This window comes from Homo sapiens, chromosome 4 (assembly GCF_000001405.40).
Source record: "Homo sapiens chromosome 4, GRCh38.p14 Primary Assembly".
NCBI lineage: Eukaryota > Metazoa > Chordata > Mammalia > Primates > Hominidae > Homo > Homo sapiens.
The window spans coordinates 143,591,755-143,612,357 of record NC_000004.12 but is presented as its reverse complement, the minus strand read 5'-3'; the positions used below and the strand labels follow the sequence as shown (position 1 = coordinate 143,612,357).

Genomic DNA, 20,603 nt, shown 5'->3' with positions numbered 1-20,603 from the left:
AAATGAAAGAATCAAAACATATGCTTCATTTGTATGAAATTTCTCATAAAGGCAAATAAATCTATAATGATGCAAAGCAGATTTGTGATTTCCAAGGCCTGGGAGACAGGGAAGGAGATGGATTGCAAGAAACACAGGTCAACTTTTGTGGATGGATAAAAACGTTTTATGATTGTGGTGGTGGTCACATGATTATATGCATTTGTCAAAACTCTTCAAACTGTGCATTTACATTGGTGAATCTTAATGTAAGTAAACTATTAAAATAACATTTAAAACACACTGAATCTAAACCGAAATCCTCTAATCAATCCTGCACTCCTTGTAAAATAAGATATAATTTTCTGGCTATATTATGGTGTCATACAAAGAACTCTAGTTGGGGTGTGTGATGATCAGATTACATAGATGCTGCTCACAGCTATGCCACTGTGGGTAGAGCAGTAGCAGGAAAAAAATCGATACTATTTTCATGCTGTGGATTCTCTAGTCCTAATTTTACTACACCTCAGTTTTCTCATCTGTAATATGAAATAATTGAGCTAAGCCAGCCCTAGCATCCTGTGATCTTGTTTATTTAGCCCCTAATATAAACAAACCTTATTCAATATACTCTATTTAAAAATCACTAAATCTAGATCATGTCAAAATACCAGAGTCTATTCCAAAAGCCTTCTTCTTACAGTATTACTATTTGTGAGCATAAGAGGTAAGTGTGTTGTATCATTCAGATAGCTATTATCTAAAAATACATTAAAGAAAACAGACAGGCTTCTTGTTTGGAATTCCATTTCTTCTTAACCTCCCTGTTCCTTCTCATATTTCTGTAGGTTCTGCCACAGGCACGATTTCTTCCACAGTGTTATTCTCTGATTACATCTCACGTCCAGAAGACCACACCAGCATCCTCCACTTTGACAAGAATGAGACACAGAAGACCTGCCAGGTCCTGATCATTGATGACTCCCTTTATGAAGAGGAGGAATCCTTCAGCGTTTCACTTAGGCTGCCAGTGGGAGGACAGCTGGGAGCCAGATTCCCCACCACTAAGGTGACTATTCTGGCTGATCGTTATGATGGTAAGTCCATTTGTTGCTTTCCAACCTTTGGCAATAGCTGCCTTCTCACACTTTCCTCCAACAGTTGAAAGGCAAATGTAGCTTAAATTATCTTTTAAAAGAATATTTGATGTTCTTTTATCTCCAAAAACTGTGAGTAGCTCTTCAAATGCATAGACATCACCAACACCAATGACAAAACAGCCATGCGAGTAGATTAAATATTTGGGTACGACTTTACTTGACACAAGAAAAAGCACAGCCCAAGGAGGTGACTTAAGACTTAGAAGGAAGCCAGGGAGAGGACCTAAGTCAAGTATCTAATTACCCAACCAGGACTACCCCCAAGAGGACCTTCATCTTAGCAGCACAAGGATCATCCCTCACAGTTAGTGTGTGAGTTGTCAAGCAGCACAAGGATAAGATGGAGCCCAGTGTGTCAGCATCTGGACCTCTTTTTATGGTTACCTAGCAGGGCGTTTGCCTCCAGTCCCTGGGGAGCCCAGCTGAAATTTAGCCAGAGAAGAGAGGGGCGCCTCATTCCTAAACACCAACTCCCCTCCCAGACACGACACAAAGTATCAAGCCCAGTATGACTTTCCTAGGTCTCACCTGCCCTTCTATAAGGAGCACTTTTAACAGAAAATGGTAATAAAGACAGGGCCAGGATCAGACTGTTTTATTACTACTCTCAAATTAGTGTGACTGCTTCATCTCTCAACCATGCTTCTGTCAGGATTTGAGTGGCTGTGAGTTGCTAAGCTCAGACCTAAGAAGGGTTAGACTGGGCTGTTATTAAGGACCCAAAATTAATGTGACTGCTTTATGGATGCACCACAAAGCTTACATTAAACTGAGAGCTGTGCCAAGAGATAAACACAGATTTGTAAAGTCTGAACAGTTTATACTCTCCAGGTAGGTATGGTAAATTTATCGTGTACTATCATGTTCTGTTTAAAATTATGTCTTCATAACAACCATAGAACAAGAGAAAATATGAGTGAGATTAAAGGCGGTCTTCTGTTTGTTGTTTAATCTCCTAAATGGCTTTACTTGGGAATATTTCACCCTGTGGACCAGATCTCTGAAATTTTCAGTAGACTACTTTTGCTCCATTAAAAATAAAAAAGAATTTTCTAGGACTAATTCCAAAACACATCTTTACAAGTATCAAGAGCTAAGAATAAGGACAGGCCCTGAGATCCATGCTTTCTTCGTCATGTACTTTTCTTTTCAAAAATTTCTTCATTGGAATTAAAACAAAGATTGTTTTTCTTAAAATAATTTGAGTAAATTTTCAATATATTCCTTTATGGAAATGTATAATTGTATATATTTTCTGTTAAACCAAAGAGATAGGAGGAAGTGTCCAACAGGAAAATTAGCCTTGATTTTCCAGTTTCATTCGAAAGAAGTTGTTTTGGAAAGAGAAACACTACTCACGTTATCTTATAAAAAGTATCTGCTGTTTTCCCAACAGAAGAGAAGTAGAATCTGAGTAAATTTGTCTGGTTGAGACATCTGAAAAATCCCTACGTGGTCAAGTCTAGTTGATTAATATGAAGAGCAAATTGAGAAATGAGGACACTCTGAAAGACAAAAAAATGATGACATGGCATTATGTGGTTTTTGAAGCCTGCTTGAAATATTAGAATTTTTTTTTAATTACAGGGCTATGATTAGGATATTGAAGCAACTATCTCTTACCAAGAGGTTAGGAAAGATTTACCCACACCGAGTGCTACAGACCAAGAAGGTGTTAACCAGGCAGAGTGAGAAGGGAGAAAGGGAAAGTTACGGAAGTGGAGACTTTTTTTTTACATTTTCTACATAGTCCACTTCACAGTATATCCTTCTTTTTATAATCAATGCTTACTTTTCCATGATAATGAAGAATTAATATGAAAAGTTGAAATTTGTAAACACATAGCTTCAAATTCCTTTTCCCTTCACTACCACACCTTTTCTTATAGCCAGAAAGATTGGCGTCAGAACAGTCTTCGTTATTCTTCTCTACTGGAGCTAGTAATAGGTCTAGGTACACAACGAAAGAAATGGGAGAGAAAAGGAAGAGAATCAAAAGTGGAACAACAGAGTCAGCAAAGCTTGTGCTGGGGGTCTGGAGACTTGGATTCTAAGCCTGAGACACACTCTCTCTGGGTAACCTTGGCTAGGTCAAGCTATCTGTGGCTCTGTTTCCCAATCTTGAAATAAGGAGATTGATTGGGTTGTCTCTAGGAACCCTTTCCCTCCATAATTCTATGATTCTTAAGTCATTCTAAGAAAAAGGCATTAGTTAATAAACACCACCCATACACAAAAATGATGCATCCTGTAGGCTGAGTTTTTCCATTAAAATTTTGTCATGAACTTAGAAAAATATATGTCAAAGTTTTGCTCTAAACAAGCCAGGTAAAAAAGAGAGTTAATTAGTGAAGCAAGAACTTGAATGGTCTTGTGTTTTAAGCTATCTATTTTGTCTTTTATTTTTCCAAGGCCTAACCCTGTTTGACTCATGCTATTCTTTCCAACATAAGTGCCAGAAGACATATAACTGGAGTGATATGTCTATACCCTGGACATGCTCTAACATTTTTTGAGCACATACTGAGTTACATTTTGATAAGCAAGTGCATTATATAATTTTACCCAGATAATTAGAAGGAAATTTCTTTTAAAACTATCCTGAAATTTTTAAGCAAACATGAAGAATGAAGTTGTCTGACCTTCAATTATTCTATCTCTTCTTCCTCAATAAGATGTATGTTTTCTGCAAGCTCTTTACCTAACAATTAGAATAGGCTCAAACACCAGAGCTTACCTGAAAACTACAAAAGCTAGAGACAGGCATAAAGCACCCAACAGATATTAGATCTAAACAAGCAATTTAATGGGATTCAGGTGCCATTATATGACTTTGTTGGTATGCTCAGAACTGAGGTGACTCTGGGGACCACCTTACAAAAGAATGAGACAGCTTCTTAACCAAAATATTAGTGTTTGTATGTATAATAACAAGCAAATGGCTGTCAAAAAAGCAGACATTCAAGTCCTTTGGTCATTAACGTAGGCTGAATAATGGACCCCAAAGATATCCACATTCTAACCACCAAAATTGTGAATGTGTTACTTTACATGGCAAAACGGACTTTTCAGGTCTGATTAAGTTAAGGCTGTTGAGATGGTGCGATTATCCTGAGTTACCTAAGTGGGCCCAGAATAATCAGCAGGGTCCCTATAAGAGAGATGCAAGAGGATCACAGAGAAAAAGGGGAGCTGATGACTGAAACCAGAGGTTGGAGTGATGCACTTTGAAGCTGGAGGAAAGGGCCACAAGCCGAGGAATGCAGGCAGCCTTTAGAAGCTAGAAAAGGCAAGGAGATGGATTTCCTCCTGAAGCCTCCAGTTAGAACACAGCCCTGGCAACACCCTTTATTTTAGTTAGACTTCTGACTTGTAGAACTGTAATGGAATAAATTTATGTTGTTTTAAGCCACTAAATTTGTGGTAATTTATTACAGCAACAAAAGGAAACTAATACCATCAGTATTGTTTCTGGAGGAAACGTCTATATAAGAAACCAATTTATAATTAGAAAATTTAGTGACTGGTGTGGAAATGAAATGAAAAGATGATCTCTTCTTGTCTTTAAGAAAATACAGCCTTCTCTGCTACACTCATAATCCTACAAGAGTATTGAACATTTGAGTGTAAGTCAAGGATTCTCAACCTAACTCTTAATCATTGAGTTCCCCCTTCTGACTGCATGCCCTTTTCCTAAATCTTCAATTCCTCTTCTAGTAACACTGTGAACCAACTACAGAGCAAGGTAAAAAGTGATTAAGGCAAGAAAGGCTCAGATGAAGGACAAAGGGAATCAAGAAAAGGCAGAGATTCCTTCTAACTGGAGGAGCTCAAGAAAAAAAGTACTATTAAAAAGTACCATTTGTGCTGTGTCTGGATGGGTAGGTGGAACTTGAGGATAGAGAAAGGAAGGACAGTAGCATTTCAGCTGGAGGAAACAGCTTGAGCAAAGTCATAAATGAGGAGATATCCAGAATGTGATTCAAGACTGTGCAGGAATGACATAGGCCAATTCTTTTATTCAATGGGATTGCGAATTAGCCTCATGCTTTACATTTATGAAGAACTACTCATTTATTAATGTATTAGTTCCAAAAGCATTTGTTGAGCCCCTACCATGTGTCAGGAACTCTGCTAAGCATAGAGGATACAGCAGTGAAGAATATAACCATTATATAATCAAGGGGAGAACACTATTCTGGAGTTTTCCTAGAGACTAAATAAAGGATATTAATAATAACTTTCAGCCATTGCAACTCAGGTTCGAACTTAAGAAAATTTTTCTGGTAAAGTTCTAGCTATCAAAATATACTGCAGAGAGATATTTTTTGGAATACTTTTAAGAAGAGAATATGCAATATAGTATTACCTAAGTTGTTTGTATGTAAGTCTTGCTAAGGACAAGAAATACATAAAAAAAAATCCTTCTAGATTCATAGAAGCATGAAATCTTAGAAATAAAATGGGAACTAGAGATCATGTGGTTCAGCCTCCTCGTTGTTGAAGCTAAATGTACTAAGTGGTTTGTCCAGTTTGCCCAGTCAGTTAAAGCCCAGATTTCTGCCTCTGAGTCTGTAACTCTTTCGTACTCTACTACATCCTTCAGTGATATGGTTCTAGGATGCATTTACCCCTAAGAAATAACCAAATCTTCCATAGATAAATATTTTCTTCCTTTTAAAGTTACTAATTGCAGTGATACTGGTGGCCATCTAGTGTTTCCTATAACGAAAAGCTACCTTCATGTTCAAAACCCACAGGAAATCACCAGTCACCAAAGTTTAACCCCATTGTTAGTTTAAAAGGGTTGCAGCTTTCTTCAAGTGTTTGCAAAAAAAAAAAAAGTTACTATATTCCATAATATAGTAATCTCACAGGTACCATTTAGCAAGCAAACCCCTTGAAGAACATGTTTTCATATGCACATAGCCAAAAAGTAGATAATTTGGAGCAGATGCCAGCCCTTTGATGTTGGCTCTCTCCACACAGGTGAACAACAGGATTTTGTAATGCACCTTGATCCTGTTTAAATACTGTGGGCTCTGTAGCATCGTCTCATTCTATGTGGAGACCTGCTGACTGTATGCAAACAACTGAACAAAGAATCCAATTGTTTATCAGTAAAAATTTTGAAGAAAGAGATGCAAACAGCATGCTACTTAATAAGTGAACAAAAAACTGAAATAAAAGGGGCTGGCACATTTTGCCAGTCATCTCATAGGCTGAGCAGATGTCTGTGTAGAAATGAACAATGGCCACAAGGGAAAAAAGAACCATGAGCCAATATAAGTAACCTACCCAAGAAAACATCTGGGTACGCTTGACTTTTCAGAAAAATAGAAATGGCATTAAATTACCACTTTGTTTACGAAGTAGTAAGTAAATAAAGATTATAAGATAATAAAAGGAGACTTTTTGCTCACTTATAAAGTAGTAAATTTTTTGCCTCTCAGTATTTGGAGTTAAGTGGTAGGAAATTGAATTGATAGTGTCTTTATTGGCTGCACATGAAAGTCAGAGGGAGGAAGAGAATAAGGAATGTAAATGGCTTTCTTTATAATCACCACTTTCTTAATTAATCCAGTGCATATCCTGGCAAACCACTTTGGCTACATTTTTCTCCCTCTTTGACTCTGTTGTTTATATTTCAAATAATAAAATTACATCTGCGAATCATAGTGGCCACTGAAACAATAGAATAACACTAAGTAAATTCCAAAAATGAAACCAAAGCACTTGAATTTTGTTAGTGCCACAGCATTGTATGAACAACAAAGCCATCAGGTGAACAATAAAGTTAGTAAGATGAGCTAAATTGTACTTAACTGTAAGAGTAGTTATTTATACAGGAAGGAGTACGTAAAAACAAGTAAAAGCCTTAATATCTATTTCTTGAAGAAATAGTATACCCTTGAGCCGTGCCATATTCCTACTTAATTTTTACTTAAAACTTGGTAGTTTTAAATCCTCTAATGTTCATAAGAGAACTTGAGAAAATTTCCAATATTAAATATAAAAAGGAAGGAAAAATACAAAGAAAGGAAGAAAATTACACAAAATCCAGTACATGACCCAATTGTTAATTTACAGTGTTGTTTGAAATGGTCTTAGTAGACTCTTAACAGGTAGATAATTCATTCAAGAGACATTCACAGTGACCTGCCACTTGCTTAGTACAGGACTACAAAGTCTACCCTTGCCTTCTATCCTACCCAATTTGATCTTTAATTAGATTATCCTTGAATGAATTAAGCCTTTTTAATGGAGGAAAAAAATTATGCACAGAAATAATGATGGAAGATTCATAGTTCAGTGTAAACAATCAACAATCTGAATTGCTACATACTTATCTGAGCAAGTCATTATTTATAATTACTGGATTGTGGGAACTTGCATTCAGATTCTGTAACATTTATTGAGGATCAAGCACATTGCTAAGCTTAAAATGTAATGCTAGAATCCACATACATGGTCATCTGTGTGATTTGTTCATGAAGTCACACTAAAATATTATTTAATTTAATAAGGAGGCAAGTTCCCAAGTTTTGGCTTCTAGTTACCTTTCAGGAGCTTCCTAAGTGTTTTGATTGTGCTCTTGAATTCTCAGCACCCCTGAGATTTGAGATCTGCCCTTATTTTTATCACTTAAGATATTAATAATTAATGAAAAAAATATAACTTTTAAGTATTTTATTAGTATCCTGAATATGTTCACCTAAAAGGAAGAAGCTGAGGCAAAATTAATATAGAGTTTATCTGAGCCAAGGTTGAGGACTGCAGCCTGGGACAACCTCCAGGTTGCCTTGGAGAGTGCTCCAGAGAGTGAAGAAGAGGTTTAAGTTTTTAGAGAAAAAGGAACAAATCAGGAGATGGAGTGTCTTAGTCCTTTTGCGTTGCTATAAAAGAGTCCTGAGGCTAGGTAATTTATAAAGAAAAAAGATTTATTTGGGCCATGGTTCTGTGGGCTGTATAGGAAACATGGTGCCAGCATCTGCTTCTGGTGAGGGCCTCAAGAAGGTCCACTCCTGGCAGAAGGGGAAGGGGAGCTGCCATGTGCAGATCACATGGCAAGAGAGAAGCAACAGAGAGGGGAGGAAGTGCCAGGCTCTTTAAACAATCAGATCATGTGGGTACTCATACAGCAAGAACTCACTCATTACTTTGAGGATGGCACCAAGATGTTCATGAGAGATCCAACCCCCTGACCCAAACACTTTCCACCTGGCCTCACCTCCAACACTGGGGATCACATTTCAATAAGAGATTTGGAAGGAACAATATCCAAACTGTATCAGAAGGCAATTACAAAAAGTGGTTTGTCAGGAATTCGCATTGGTTTACAGAAATAACATTGGTTAGTGGTTGGCTATACACTGTTGAATTACAGGGGGTATGACATTTTATGGCTGCTCGGCATGAGTTAGTCTAGAGTCCCCACAGCAAGTCACTTCAACAAGTATATTATTTAGGTCAAGAGGGAGTGGGATGTGACAGGTGTTACATTTTAAATGCCTCTCTGGGCTGGATAATTTAAAGGGACTTGCATTTCTCAGATAAAAAGGTTTTTTTTTCTTTCTCATATAGATAATACACAAATTATTTCCAAATCAACATATTTACATTAAGTTGTTCCTTTATCTGGCACTCCTCATCTCAGAAACATGTCATTCTACTGAGGCTACAGAATGTATTAAATGGATCAACTATGTCTAAAGAGCAGACCGCATTTGGCATTTCACACGTGAGGTCATCATAATCAGAGACAACTGGGAGAAAAGAAATGAGACAAACAATAACAGTTGATTGCCACTGGTTTTTATCCCAGAAATCTGAGAAAATGTATCAAAATCATTTTAAGGTTAGATATTCATAAGATTATGTACATTACACAATCTCTTTACAAAGCCAAGTGATGCAACACTCTTTTTAGATTTCTAAAACCACCTAGATGTCTTCCAGCCATGTAGAAGCAGTTCCTTGGCTCATCACTGCAGTCCATGGCCTGTCAGAGTCAGAGGTCTAGAAGCTCAATTTTGTCTGTGGGCACAGAGACAGGATGCAGACCCACAAGAGACATGATATATGTGCCAAAATGACAAATTATAAATTACAGTGAAAATCAAAGTCAAAGAAAACTGAAAATCAGAGTCCTCTGGTTAATAGATTCTCTCCTTAAAGGAGGCTCTACTGGGCAACCACTTCATAAGCAGGAAACTGATGATAATGGGATCTGAGAAATCCCATCAAGCCAATAACAGCCATCTCCATCCTGGGCAAAATAACTGCTGACGGTCCTGAAGACTCAGCATCCAAGGTCAGAATACCTTTTGTCTTAAGATAGCTAGAAACAGGCAACCCATTTTTCCTTCTTTTGGCTGCTTGCTCTTCTCTAGGTTTCATGCAGAGCTAACTTCAGCTAACGCCATTTTCCTTTAAATACAGGACAAAACAGTTGGCCGTGCTGCAGATGTAACCATGCTAACCTAGCCTGACTCTACTGAAGTTACATTTGGTCACATTCCTTTAAGCCCAAGCTTGACTCTACTGAGTGCCCTAAAACAGCTCAATCTCCAGAGTTAATGATATTTAACTCTGACAGAATCTCCTGTCAGAGTTAATGATATTTCAGAGCAGGTATTGGTTTGTAAAATTCTGAGGTGTGACTTCCTCCCATCTTCATGTCCCCCATGGGGCACTCATTTGGCAGCTGTAGTGTATGACTTTTTTGGGAGATACTTCTGCTTTAGTCCCTACCCTACAGATATTCACATTTTGCCACTCGTGACTCTAATGATCCCTTTGAATGGTATCATTTTATTTTGGCCTTGAGGAAACAACCACAAGGATTATTAGTGCACTTCCCACGTAATTATATCTTTTTTAGAATAATGACATGAAATGATAATTCTGTTAATTCGAGTTTCTAAGCATTAGCCAACTGTCAAATTCCTGTGTGTGGTGTGTCTCCAGCAGCAGTTTAGTCGTCATTTCAGTCAGAAATAAAACATGTGTCCTTCAAAATTGACTATTTGAGAAAATATCGGGAAAAGCACACATTCATTTCCCAGGGTTAGGATTTTACATATAGTTTACTAGTTTAGGCACATGTTAGATACCAATAATGCTTCCTTTTTAGGAGAGTCAAATACATCATCTTGTAACGAAAGCATGTTTTCATTTAGGCCAAATGATGACACAGTATCTAGCAACCTAAAGATATACCCAAGTTGCTCAAGGGCAAGCTTTTTTTTTTCCAGATGGAGCTGAGGAATTTTATTCTATTTTGCTGGACTCCAGGAAATGTTTGCTTCCTTAAGCAGAGATTGAATATCCCCCTGTCAAATGGATCACCTGAAGAAATACTTTTATAAGGACAACTATCATGGAGTAAGACAAAGAAAAGAAAAAGTATAGGAGCAACCACAGACTAAGATTACCCCAGGCCAGGGACGACAGACTCCCTGGCCCACACTGCCAAGACAGCCATTATAAAAACATCAGCTCCATGAGAGTGGAGGCCACAGTATCTGCCTAATAAATGTTTGCTGAGTGAATGAATGGCAACTTTACATTTATTCACCTGGCTTTAGAACCTAACTTCCACTGGCCCTGTATCAAGGGCAAGATAAAATTGAGAACACTTGTTAATCTGAAAAATGTGTCTGTTCTATATATAAGCACTTTATACTATCTCCACTCAACTAGTAAAGACTTTCTTTCAATTTTTAGTACGTGATTTGAGAACTCTAGTAACCTGCCACAAAAAGAAATGTCCAGTTTCACAGAGGGTTATATATTTTGTCCTGAGGCAGTAGGATTTGGAAAACTTGCGTAAAATTTCCCTATAAATATTACCAGCTAGTTTAGTATCTTTGTCATTAAATGGGCATCTAACAGAATGTTGACAGATTTAAGAAAACATTGTAAGGAAAAATTGTGCATAAACAAAGTGTCATTTTGGTGAAATCAGCATATTCAACTTTTTGAAAATGTGGTTATGGACCAAGATAAACTTCAACACATAAAAGTTTTTAAAATGTGAAAGACATATATTGCTATGCTGTAAAAACCCAGGAAACTGTTCAGAAGAAATAGTATCATTATGCTTTCTAGGGCTAGTCATATTATAAAACAAGTGCTGTAAGCTTTAAAAGTATCACAATTTTAATTTTGGATCTTATTTTTTAGTTTAAAGTTAACGAAAGGAAATATTTTAGAGGCCATTACCCAACATCTCAAAAAAAAAAAAAAAGACTTTAGAAACAGAAAGGAGAAAAGAGCATTCCCAGAATGAAGTGACTAGTGATCACCCTTGCTTGCAATAGAAATGATAGCACTGATAAAAAGTTCTCAGGCAGAGATGTTGGCTGTGCGTGGTCTTTTCAGCCTCCATGATATCTTAAGTTCTTCTGCATTTAGTAAACAAGATATTTAATCACATACAGCCATATTTGTTAGTTATGTTACATTTATTTTAGGTTTTATGCTGAATCTTAAAGAAAATGGATTACATTCTCCTAGCCATTATAAGATCTTTTTATGAAGTTTCACAACTTTTATATTTGAAGGTAACCTTGGGAGAAGTAGACCTAGGATTATTTTACTGTTAGACACATTATGCTGACAGCATATTATAGTTTAAATGGCAACTGCAAAGTTCAAAACAACTTTTTTATTTTTTATATAGAAAGCACACAAGGTTAAGGTCTAAATTAATGCATTTGTCATTTCTTTTTTTTATTTCAATAGGGTTTTGGGGAAGAGGTGGTGTTTGGTTACATAAATAAGTTCTTTAGAGGTGATTTTTGAGATTTTGGTGCACCTGTCGCCCGAACAGTGTACATTGTACCTAATGTCTAGTCTTTTATCCCTCACCTACCTCCCAGCCTTTTTCCTGAGTCCCCAAAGTCCATTGTATCCTCAAAGTCCTCATGGTTTAGCTCCCACTTATAAGTGAGAACAAAATGATGTTTAGTTTTCCATTCCTGAGTTTACTTCACTTAGAATAATGGTCTGCAATTCCATCCAGGTTGCTGCAAATGCCATTATTTTGTTCCTTTTTATGCTAGCCACTGTCAGATTTAATAAGACCACTACAACCAGTTGGAAAGATTTAAGGGCTTCTTTAAAAATTCCTATGCCTCTGCTCCAGGGCACAGACTATTCTCCAGCTCATGCTGGATGCCAGCATGACTCAGAAAATGTGAAGACCAACCACTAGATTTTTAAATAGCTCCCTAAGTTATATTTCTCTCTTCAGATGAGGTGCTTCTGAGCCCATAGTCCAGGGCCAAAGTCTTCCATCCTACATTTCATGTGTGGATAGCTGGTCTTATGCCAGGAATTCTTTTTCCACATCCTGCGCTAGTATCAACAAGACCCTGGTCTCCACTCTTAGGACTTGATATTTCCCTGGAGGCTAGAATGTATGTACCCCTGAATCTAGCCCAAGAATAGACCCTTTCCCTCATCCTCTATTTTTCCTGCTCTGGATTTCCCCATTCTTTTGTTCTAGCCTAGTGTTCCTTTGCCAGAGGTTACACTTTAAATTACTACATTCTTTGGACACCATGCCTTGCCAAGTGGTTGAATCTCCACTGGTAGGTCTGACATGATTCAAGTCAGATCTGTTTCTACCTCCACACCTCCTACCATAATCCTCTAATATCCACCTCAATAAATTATAAGGATGACATCCCAATGCAGAAATATCTTCTGCATCACAGAATCATTAAGACCAGAAGGAACCTCAAAGGTCATCTAGTTCAACCTCTTCATTTTACAAATGAGGAAAGCAAGGCCCAGAGAGTTAAAGTGACTTTCCCAAGTGTCCATACTGAGTCAAGGCAAGAACAATCTGAGAAGCCTATTATTTCCAGATTCCAGGTTCAGTGCTCTTTCTCTAATATCGTGTCCCTTAGCCTCTCTGACAGCTAGTTATTTTTCTTTGTTCTGAAAAATCCTATTGACCCAGAGTTTGCTACTTAAAATAAAGCCAAATTTATGGTTAAATAACTTTAATTAACAGAATGCCCTTATTCTGATCCAAAATTCTTTTTTAAAAATCAGCTTTCTGAGCAAGATGGCAGAAGACCCTCCTACACTTTTCTTCCCTCTACAGACATACTGACTCAAGAGCAAAATACTAACATTCTCTTTATGAGAAATCCAAAAACCAGCTGTAAGACTCCCATATCCAGGCTGAGTACAAAACCAGCTACAGTCATGTGTCACTTAATGAGAGCAATATGTTCTGAGAAATGGATCTCTTAAGGAAATTTCAATGTTGTACAAATATCATAGAGTATACTTACACAAACCTGGATGGTATAGCCTACTATGCACATAGGCTATATGGTATAACCTATTACTCCTAGGCTACACATCTGTACAGCATGTTACTGTACTGAATACTGTAGGCAACTGGGACACAATGGCAAGTATTTGTGTATCTAAAATAGAAAAGGTATAATAAAAATACAGTATTATGATCATATGGGACAACCATTTTATATATATGGTCAACCATTGAGCAAAACATCATTATGCTTATACATAAAAACTGGTAGGAGAGTTCAAGACACCCTCTTGTCCAAAGCCCCTAGCACAGTGACATACAACTGGGAGCTCCAAGCTTTTCTTTGAGGAAGGAGGAGAAGAGAAGCACCATATATCTAATGCCTTGACTTTTCTGGGGCATGCACAGAACACTGGCTTCTGTGTCACCTGTCACTGAGCACTAACAATCTCACATACTATAGATGTCCAGAAGCTATTACTGAGAACAAAACTAGAGTTCATAATAGCAAGCTAGCATATGCCACAGCTGCAACCTTCAGCTCAGTGCAAAGTGAGTGGACGGGGAAAAGAAAACAGCTCCAAGCTGATATTACAGCTTGTACCTGGGCAGGGAAGAAAAGGATGTGACCACACATAAATGCTCTGATTTTTACTGGGGCCTGCCCAAGTCACTGGCTTCTGTCTACCTGCCTCAGACCACTGATGCAACCCACTATACTCTAGATGCTGAGGGCCACTGCAGTGGACTGAATGTTTGTGTCTCCCCCAAATTTATATGCTGAAATTCTAACCTCCAAGGTGATAGCATTAGGAGGTGGGGACTTTGGAAGGTGATTAGGTCATGAGGGCAGAGCCCTCATGAACACTACTAGTTCCCTTATGTAAGAGACCTGAAAGAGACCCCTCACCTCTTTTGTCATATAAGTGTATAGCAAGAAGGCAACATCTATGAACTAGAAGGTGGACCATTACCAGATGCTGCATCTGCCGATGCTTTGATCTTAGACTTCCAAGTCTCCAGAACTGTGATAAATTTCTGTTGTTTATAAGTTACTCAGTTTATGTGGTATTTGAATCTGTAGATTGCCTTCAGTAGAATGGATGTTTTAATGAACACAGGATGTCTTTCCATTTGTATGTCTTCTTTAATTTTTTTATCAATGTTTTGTAGTTTTCAGTGCAGTGTACAAGTCTTTCCCTGCCTTAGTTAAGTTTATGCCTAAGTGTTTTATTCTGATAGTATTTGAATGTAAATGGGGTTGTTTTCCTAATTTTCTTTTCAGATAGTTTGTTATTAGTATAAAGAAATGCTAGTGATTTTTGTATGTTGATTTGTATTTTGCAACTGTACTGAATGTATTTATTGGTTTTAAAAGCCAAAACAGTTCTGAGAAAGAAGAGCAGAGCTGGAAGCATCACATTTCCTGATTTCAAAATATTTACAAAGCAACAGTAGTCAAAATAGTAAGATACTGGCATAAAAACTGTGTTTATCTAAGCAGGTCTTCCTGAGTAGATTTTCTATCTCCTTTCATTTGGGCACTATAGTTAATTTACCTTATTCAGCTTAAAGTTTCATACGATGTGTTTTGGGTTTTTGCCGTTGACGTCCACTGTTGGCTTACATGTATCTTTCTGGATGTGCTCGCTGCGTTTGACATTGTCACCACTCATTCTTCTCAAGATTCTTTACTCTCTTGATTTTCCTGTTTCAAACTCCTCTCTCTCCCTCTCGCCAACGATTTTTTGCTTGTTTGTTTTTGCTTGTTTGCTTATTTTTCTGTCTGTTTGTTTTTGGTCTCTTTTTGGGGCTCCTGTCACTCGGTCTTTCTCCCCAAGGGTTGATGCTCCCCGCTATGATCCTCTTTTTATTCATCCATAGTAGACGATCATACCATCTAATATAGGATTAACCCCAATCTGTATGCTTAAGACTTCCAAATCTTATCTCCAGCCCTAGCTTGATTTTTTATTTTTTGAGACAAAGTCTCACTCTTTTCCTCAGACTGCTGTGCAATGGTACAATCATGGCTCACTGCAGCCACAATCTCCTGGGCTCAAGTGATCCTCCCACCTCAGCCTCCCACAAAGTTGGGACTACAGGCATATGCACCACACCCAGCTAATTATTTCTTTATTTTTTTATAGAGATGGGATCTCGCTATGTTTTCCAGGCTGGTCTCGAACTCCTGGTCTCAAGTGATCCCCTCTCCTCGGCCTCCCAAAGTGCTGGAATTACAGGCATGAACCACTGTGAGGCTTGATTTTGAACTCTAGATTCATGCATGAAAGGGTTTTTCCAAAATATCTACTTAAATGCACCACAGGCCATTCAAATTCAACTTACCTATAACCAAACTCATCATCTTTCTTTCTCTTACCCTCAGTCAATGCTGTTCCACCTGCTTTATTCCCAACTGAATTAGTGCCTCCCACTCCCACCCACAAACACTAGAAACTTGCAGGGCATCCCAGAAGTGCTACATTAGTCAGTGGGTGCTGTTCAGGGCATTTCTTACATTCACCTCTTCCACTCCATCACTAATACTACTGCCTACTAGTAGTATCATCAATCATCATCATGTCTCACATGAATAATTGCAATACCTTTCTAATGGGTTGCACTAATTCCTCCTAAATTCATGGCCCACACTGACACTGGACAGATGTGCAGAAAACAAAAACCAAACACCTTTTCACTGCCTAAAATTGGTTTCCACATTCTATAAAATCTAAAATATCAAGTCCCATCTACCTAAAATGATTATGTTCCTCTCTAAATTCATTCCAAACATTCCTCTGTTCTCACCTTACACACTACCAATAAACAAGTTCTTGCATCCCTTCCTAAACGGTAGGCTTTTTTCATGCTTATGTGTCTTTGTTCCTACTAGCCACTCTACCTGGAACATTTTTCCCACCTCTCTCATTGGTCAATTCTCACTCATTTTTAAAGACATAGCACCTTATTTTCTCCAGGACTCCTTCTGAGCCTCAAAGGCAGTTCCTTCTTTTTTTTTTTTTTTCTGAGATGGCGTCTCGCTCTGTCGCCCAGACTGGAGTGCAGTGGCGTGATCTCAGCTCACTGCAAGCTCTGCCTCCCAGGTTCACGCCATTCTTCTGCCTCAGCCTCCCAAGTAACTGGGACTACAGGAGCCTGCCACCACACCTGGCTAATTTTTTTGTATTTTTAGTAGAGACGGGGTTTCACCGTGTTAGCCAGGATGGTCTTGATCTGCAGACCTCGTGATCCGCCCACCTTGGCCTCCCAAAGTGCTGGGATTACAGGCAAGAGCCACGGTGCCCGGCTCCCTTCTTTTGCTATAGCATAGCTGAATGAAATCCTAAGTGCTACAGCAAAAGAAGGAACTGGTGTGGAGGCCCTGTCATACCAAAAATATCTCAAAAACAAGACTGTATATCTGTTTACATTCCCAGTAACTAGCACCATGCTTACAGCACATAGGGGATGCTCAATAGATGTTCGTTGAACTGAAGTAAAAAATATTTTTTAAAAAAACATTGAATTGGCTTTGCCAAATCTGATATTACAGAACCAATACTGACCAATGGGCATTGTCTTTCTTTTCTCAGAATTCAAAACCTGTTTAAATAAGCAGCTCTAGAATTGTTCTAAAGATTAAGCCTACCCGTCTGTTTCTAGAATCTGTTTTCTATCCTGAGACAACTGGAAAAATATTTTCCTATCTTCCATTTTTTGGCATCCATTCTGTTCTGTATGGTTTCTCAGTTTACCAACAGTGTTTCTGTTACCTCACCTGCAAAACCTGGCATTAAGCGTCTCCGAATATGAACACTGAACTCATTTTAAATGATAATTTTATCTCTTTGAGAGCTTAATTTCTGACCTTGTCATATTTATTTTTCCTATTTTCATTTAAAGAACATTCTCTCTTAAAGGAGATTAAAACACATCTATGGCTGTGGAATCCATTTAACATAAATGTGATGTGGCCAAAGCATCATATTCTTCTAATTGCCCATCCTTTAGAATCACTGCTAGCATCTCAGTTTCTCAGACAGAGCTAAGGTAAAGAGTACTTGGAAACTCTTCTGTGCTACATGGAGGAGCTGTTTTCTCTGTTCTGACAGATCTCCTGATGCTCAATACCTAGAGCATCTAGAAAGAATTTCATGACATTTTTTCCAAGTGACACTACCCTCCTCTCATGTCTTATATCTTAGTGTATTCAGAGGCTTGAGTTCTGACATTTTTTTCTCTAAACAACAGTACAACTGATCCAAATGTTTTTTACCTTTCTCACTTCTTGCCCTTCCCCAATGCCACACAATATAATTCCTCTGCTAAAAATGTAGGTAACTTTGTTCAAAGTTTTTTTCAACAAACTTTGTAATAAGTTCAAAATACATCAGAAGAGAGTTAAAAATGTCCATTTGACAAATTCTTGAGACTTTGTCAATATGCCAGCCACTGCATCACTAAAAATACAAGGGCATATAGAATATGGTGCCTGACCTTGAGAACAGTTCATAAGACTCTGATAAAAACACAGGACAGAGGGTGGAGCCAAGATGGCCAAATAGGAACAGCTCCAGTCTACAGCTCCCAGCGTGAGCGACACAGAAGACGGGTGATTTCTGCATTTCCAACTGAGGTACCAGGTTCATCTTACTGGGGAGTGTCGGACAGTGGGTGCAGGGCAGTGGGTGCAGTGCACCGTGTGTGAGATGGAGCAGGACCAGGCATCGCCTCACCCGGGAAGCACAAGAGATCAGGGAATTCCCTTTCCTAGTCAAAGAAAGGGGTGACAGACGGCACCTGGAAACTCGTGTCACTCCCACCCTACTACTGCACTTTTCCAACGGGCTTCTCAAACGGCACACCAGGAGATTATATCCTGCACATGGCTCAGAGGGTCCTACGCCCACAGAGCCTCGCTCATTGCTAGCACAGCAGTCTGACATCAAACTGCAAGGTGGCAGCGAGGCTGGAGGAGGGGCACCCGCCATTGCCGAGGCTTGAGCCAAAGCGGCTGGAAAGCTCAAACTGGGTAGAGCCCACCACAGCTCAAGGAGGCCTGCCTGCCTCTGTAGACTCCACCTCTGGAGGCAGGGCACAGACAAACAAAAGACAGCAATAACCTCTGCAGACTTAAATGTCCCTATCTGACAGCTTTGAAGAGAGTAGTGGTTCTCCCAGCATGCAGCTTGAGATCTGAGAACGGGCAGACTGCCTCCTCAAGTGGGTCCCTGACCCCCGAGTAGCCTAACTGGGAGGCACCTCCCAGTAGGGGTGGACTGACACCTCACACAGCCGGGTACTCCTCTGAGACAAAACTTCCAGAGGAACGATCAGGCAGCAGCATTTGCAGTTCACCAATATCCGCTGTTCTTCAGCCACCGCTGCTGATACCCAGGCAAACAGGGTCTGGAGTGGACCTCCAGTAAACTCCAACAGACCTGCAGCTGAGGGTCCTGACTGTTAGAAGGAAAACTAACAAACAGAAAGGACATCCACACCAAAAACCCATCTGTACGTCACCATCATCAAAGACCAAAGGTAGATAAAACCACAAAGATGGGGAAAAAACAGAGCAGAAAAACCAGAAACTCTAAAAATCAGAGCACCTCTCCTCCTCCAAAGGAACGCAGCTCCTCACCAGCAACGGAACAAAGCTGGACAGAGAATGACTTTGACGAGTTGAGAGAGGAAGGCTTCAATAGATCAAACTACTCCAAGCTAAAGGAGGAAGTTCGAACCAATGGCAAAGAAGTTAAAAACTTTGAAAAAAATTAGATAAATGGATAACTAGAATAACCAATGCAGAGAAGTCCTTAAAGGACCTGATGGAGCTGAAAACCACAGCACGAGAATGTGATGAATGCACAAGCCTCAGTAACCGATGCGATCAACTGGAAGAAAGGGTAACAGCGATGGAAGATGAAATGAATGAAATGAAGCATAAAGAGAAGTTTAGAGAAAAAAGAATAAAAAGAAACGAGCAAAGCCTCCAAGAAATATGGGACTATGTGAAAAGACCAAATCTACGTCTGACTGGTGTACCTGAAAGTGACGGGGAGAATGGAACCAAGTTGGAAAACACTCTGCAGGATATTATCCAGGAGAACTTCCCCAATCTAGCAAGGCAGGCCAACATTCAAATTCAGGAAATACAGAGAATGCCACAAATACTCCTTGAGAAGAGCAACTCCAAGATACATAATTGTCAGATTCACCAAAGTTGAAATGAAGGAAAAAATGTTAAGGGCAGCCAGAGAGAAAGGTCGGGTTACCCACAAAGGGAAGCCCATCAGACTAACTGCTGATCTCTCAGCAGAAACTCTACAAGCCAGAAGAGAGAGGGGGCCAATATTCAACAATCTTAAAGAAAAGAATTTTCAACCCAGAATTTCATATCCAGCCAAACTAAGCTTCACAAGCAAAGGAGAAATAAAATACTTCACAGACAAGCAAATGCTGAGAGATTTTGTCACCACGAGGCCTGTCCTAAAAGAGCTCCTGACGGAAGCACTAAACATGGAAAGGAACAACCAGTACCAGCCACTGCAAAAACATGCCAAATTGTAAAGACCATCAAGGCTAGGAAGAAACTGCATCAACTAATGGGCAGAATAACCAGCCAACATCATAATGACAGGATCAAATTCACACATAACAATACTAACCTTAAATGTAAATGGGCTAAATGCTCCAATTAAAAGACACAGACTGGCAAATTAGATAAAGCGTCAAGACCCACCAGTGTGCTGTATTCAGGAAACCCATCTCACGTGCAGAGACACACATAGGCTCAAAATAAAGGGATGGAGGAAGATCTACCAAGCAAATGGAAAACAAAAAAAGGCAGGGGTTGCAATCCTAGTCTCTGATAAAACAGATGTTAAACCAACAAAGATCAAAAGAGACAAAGAAGGCCATTACATAATGGTAAAGGGATCAATTCAACAAGAACAACTAACTATCCTAAATATATATGTACCCAGTACAGGAGCATCCAGATTCATAAAGCAAGTCCTTAGTGACCTACAAAGAGACTTAGACTCCCACACAATAATAATGGGAGACTTTAACACCCGACTGTCAACATTAGACAGATCAGTGAGACAGAAAGTTAACAAAGATATCCAGGAATTGAACTCAGCTCTGCACCAAGTGGA

General features: G+C 39.0%; 1 protein-coding gene across 1 annotated transcript in view; it reads left to right on the top strand.

Moving 5' to 3' along the window:
- FREM3 (FRAS1 related extracellular matrix 3) overlaps positions 1-20,603 on the top strand; it is a 123,374-nt gene that overhangs the window by 88,318 nt on the left and 14,453 nt on the right. Inside the window, exon 6 of the mRNA NM_001168235.2 lies at positions 831-1,079. Within this exon, the coding sequence (NP_001161707.1) occupies positions 831-1,079 (249 nt within the window). The remainder of the gene's footprint in view (positions 1-830; positions 1,080-20,603) is intronic.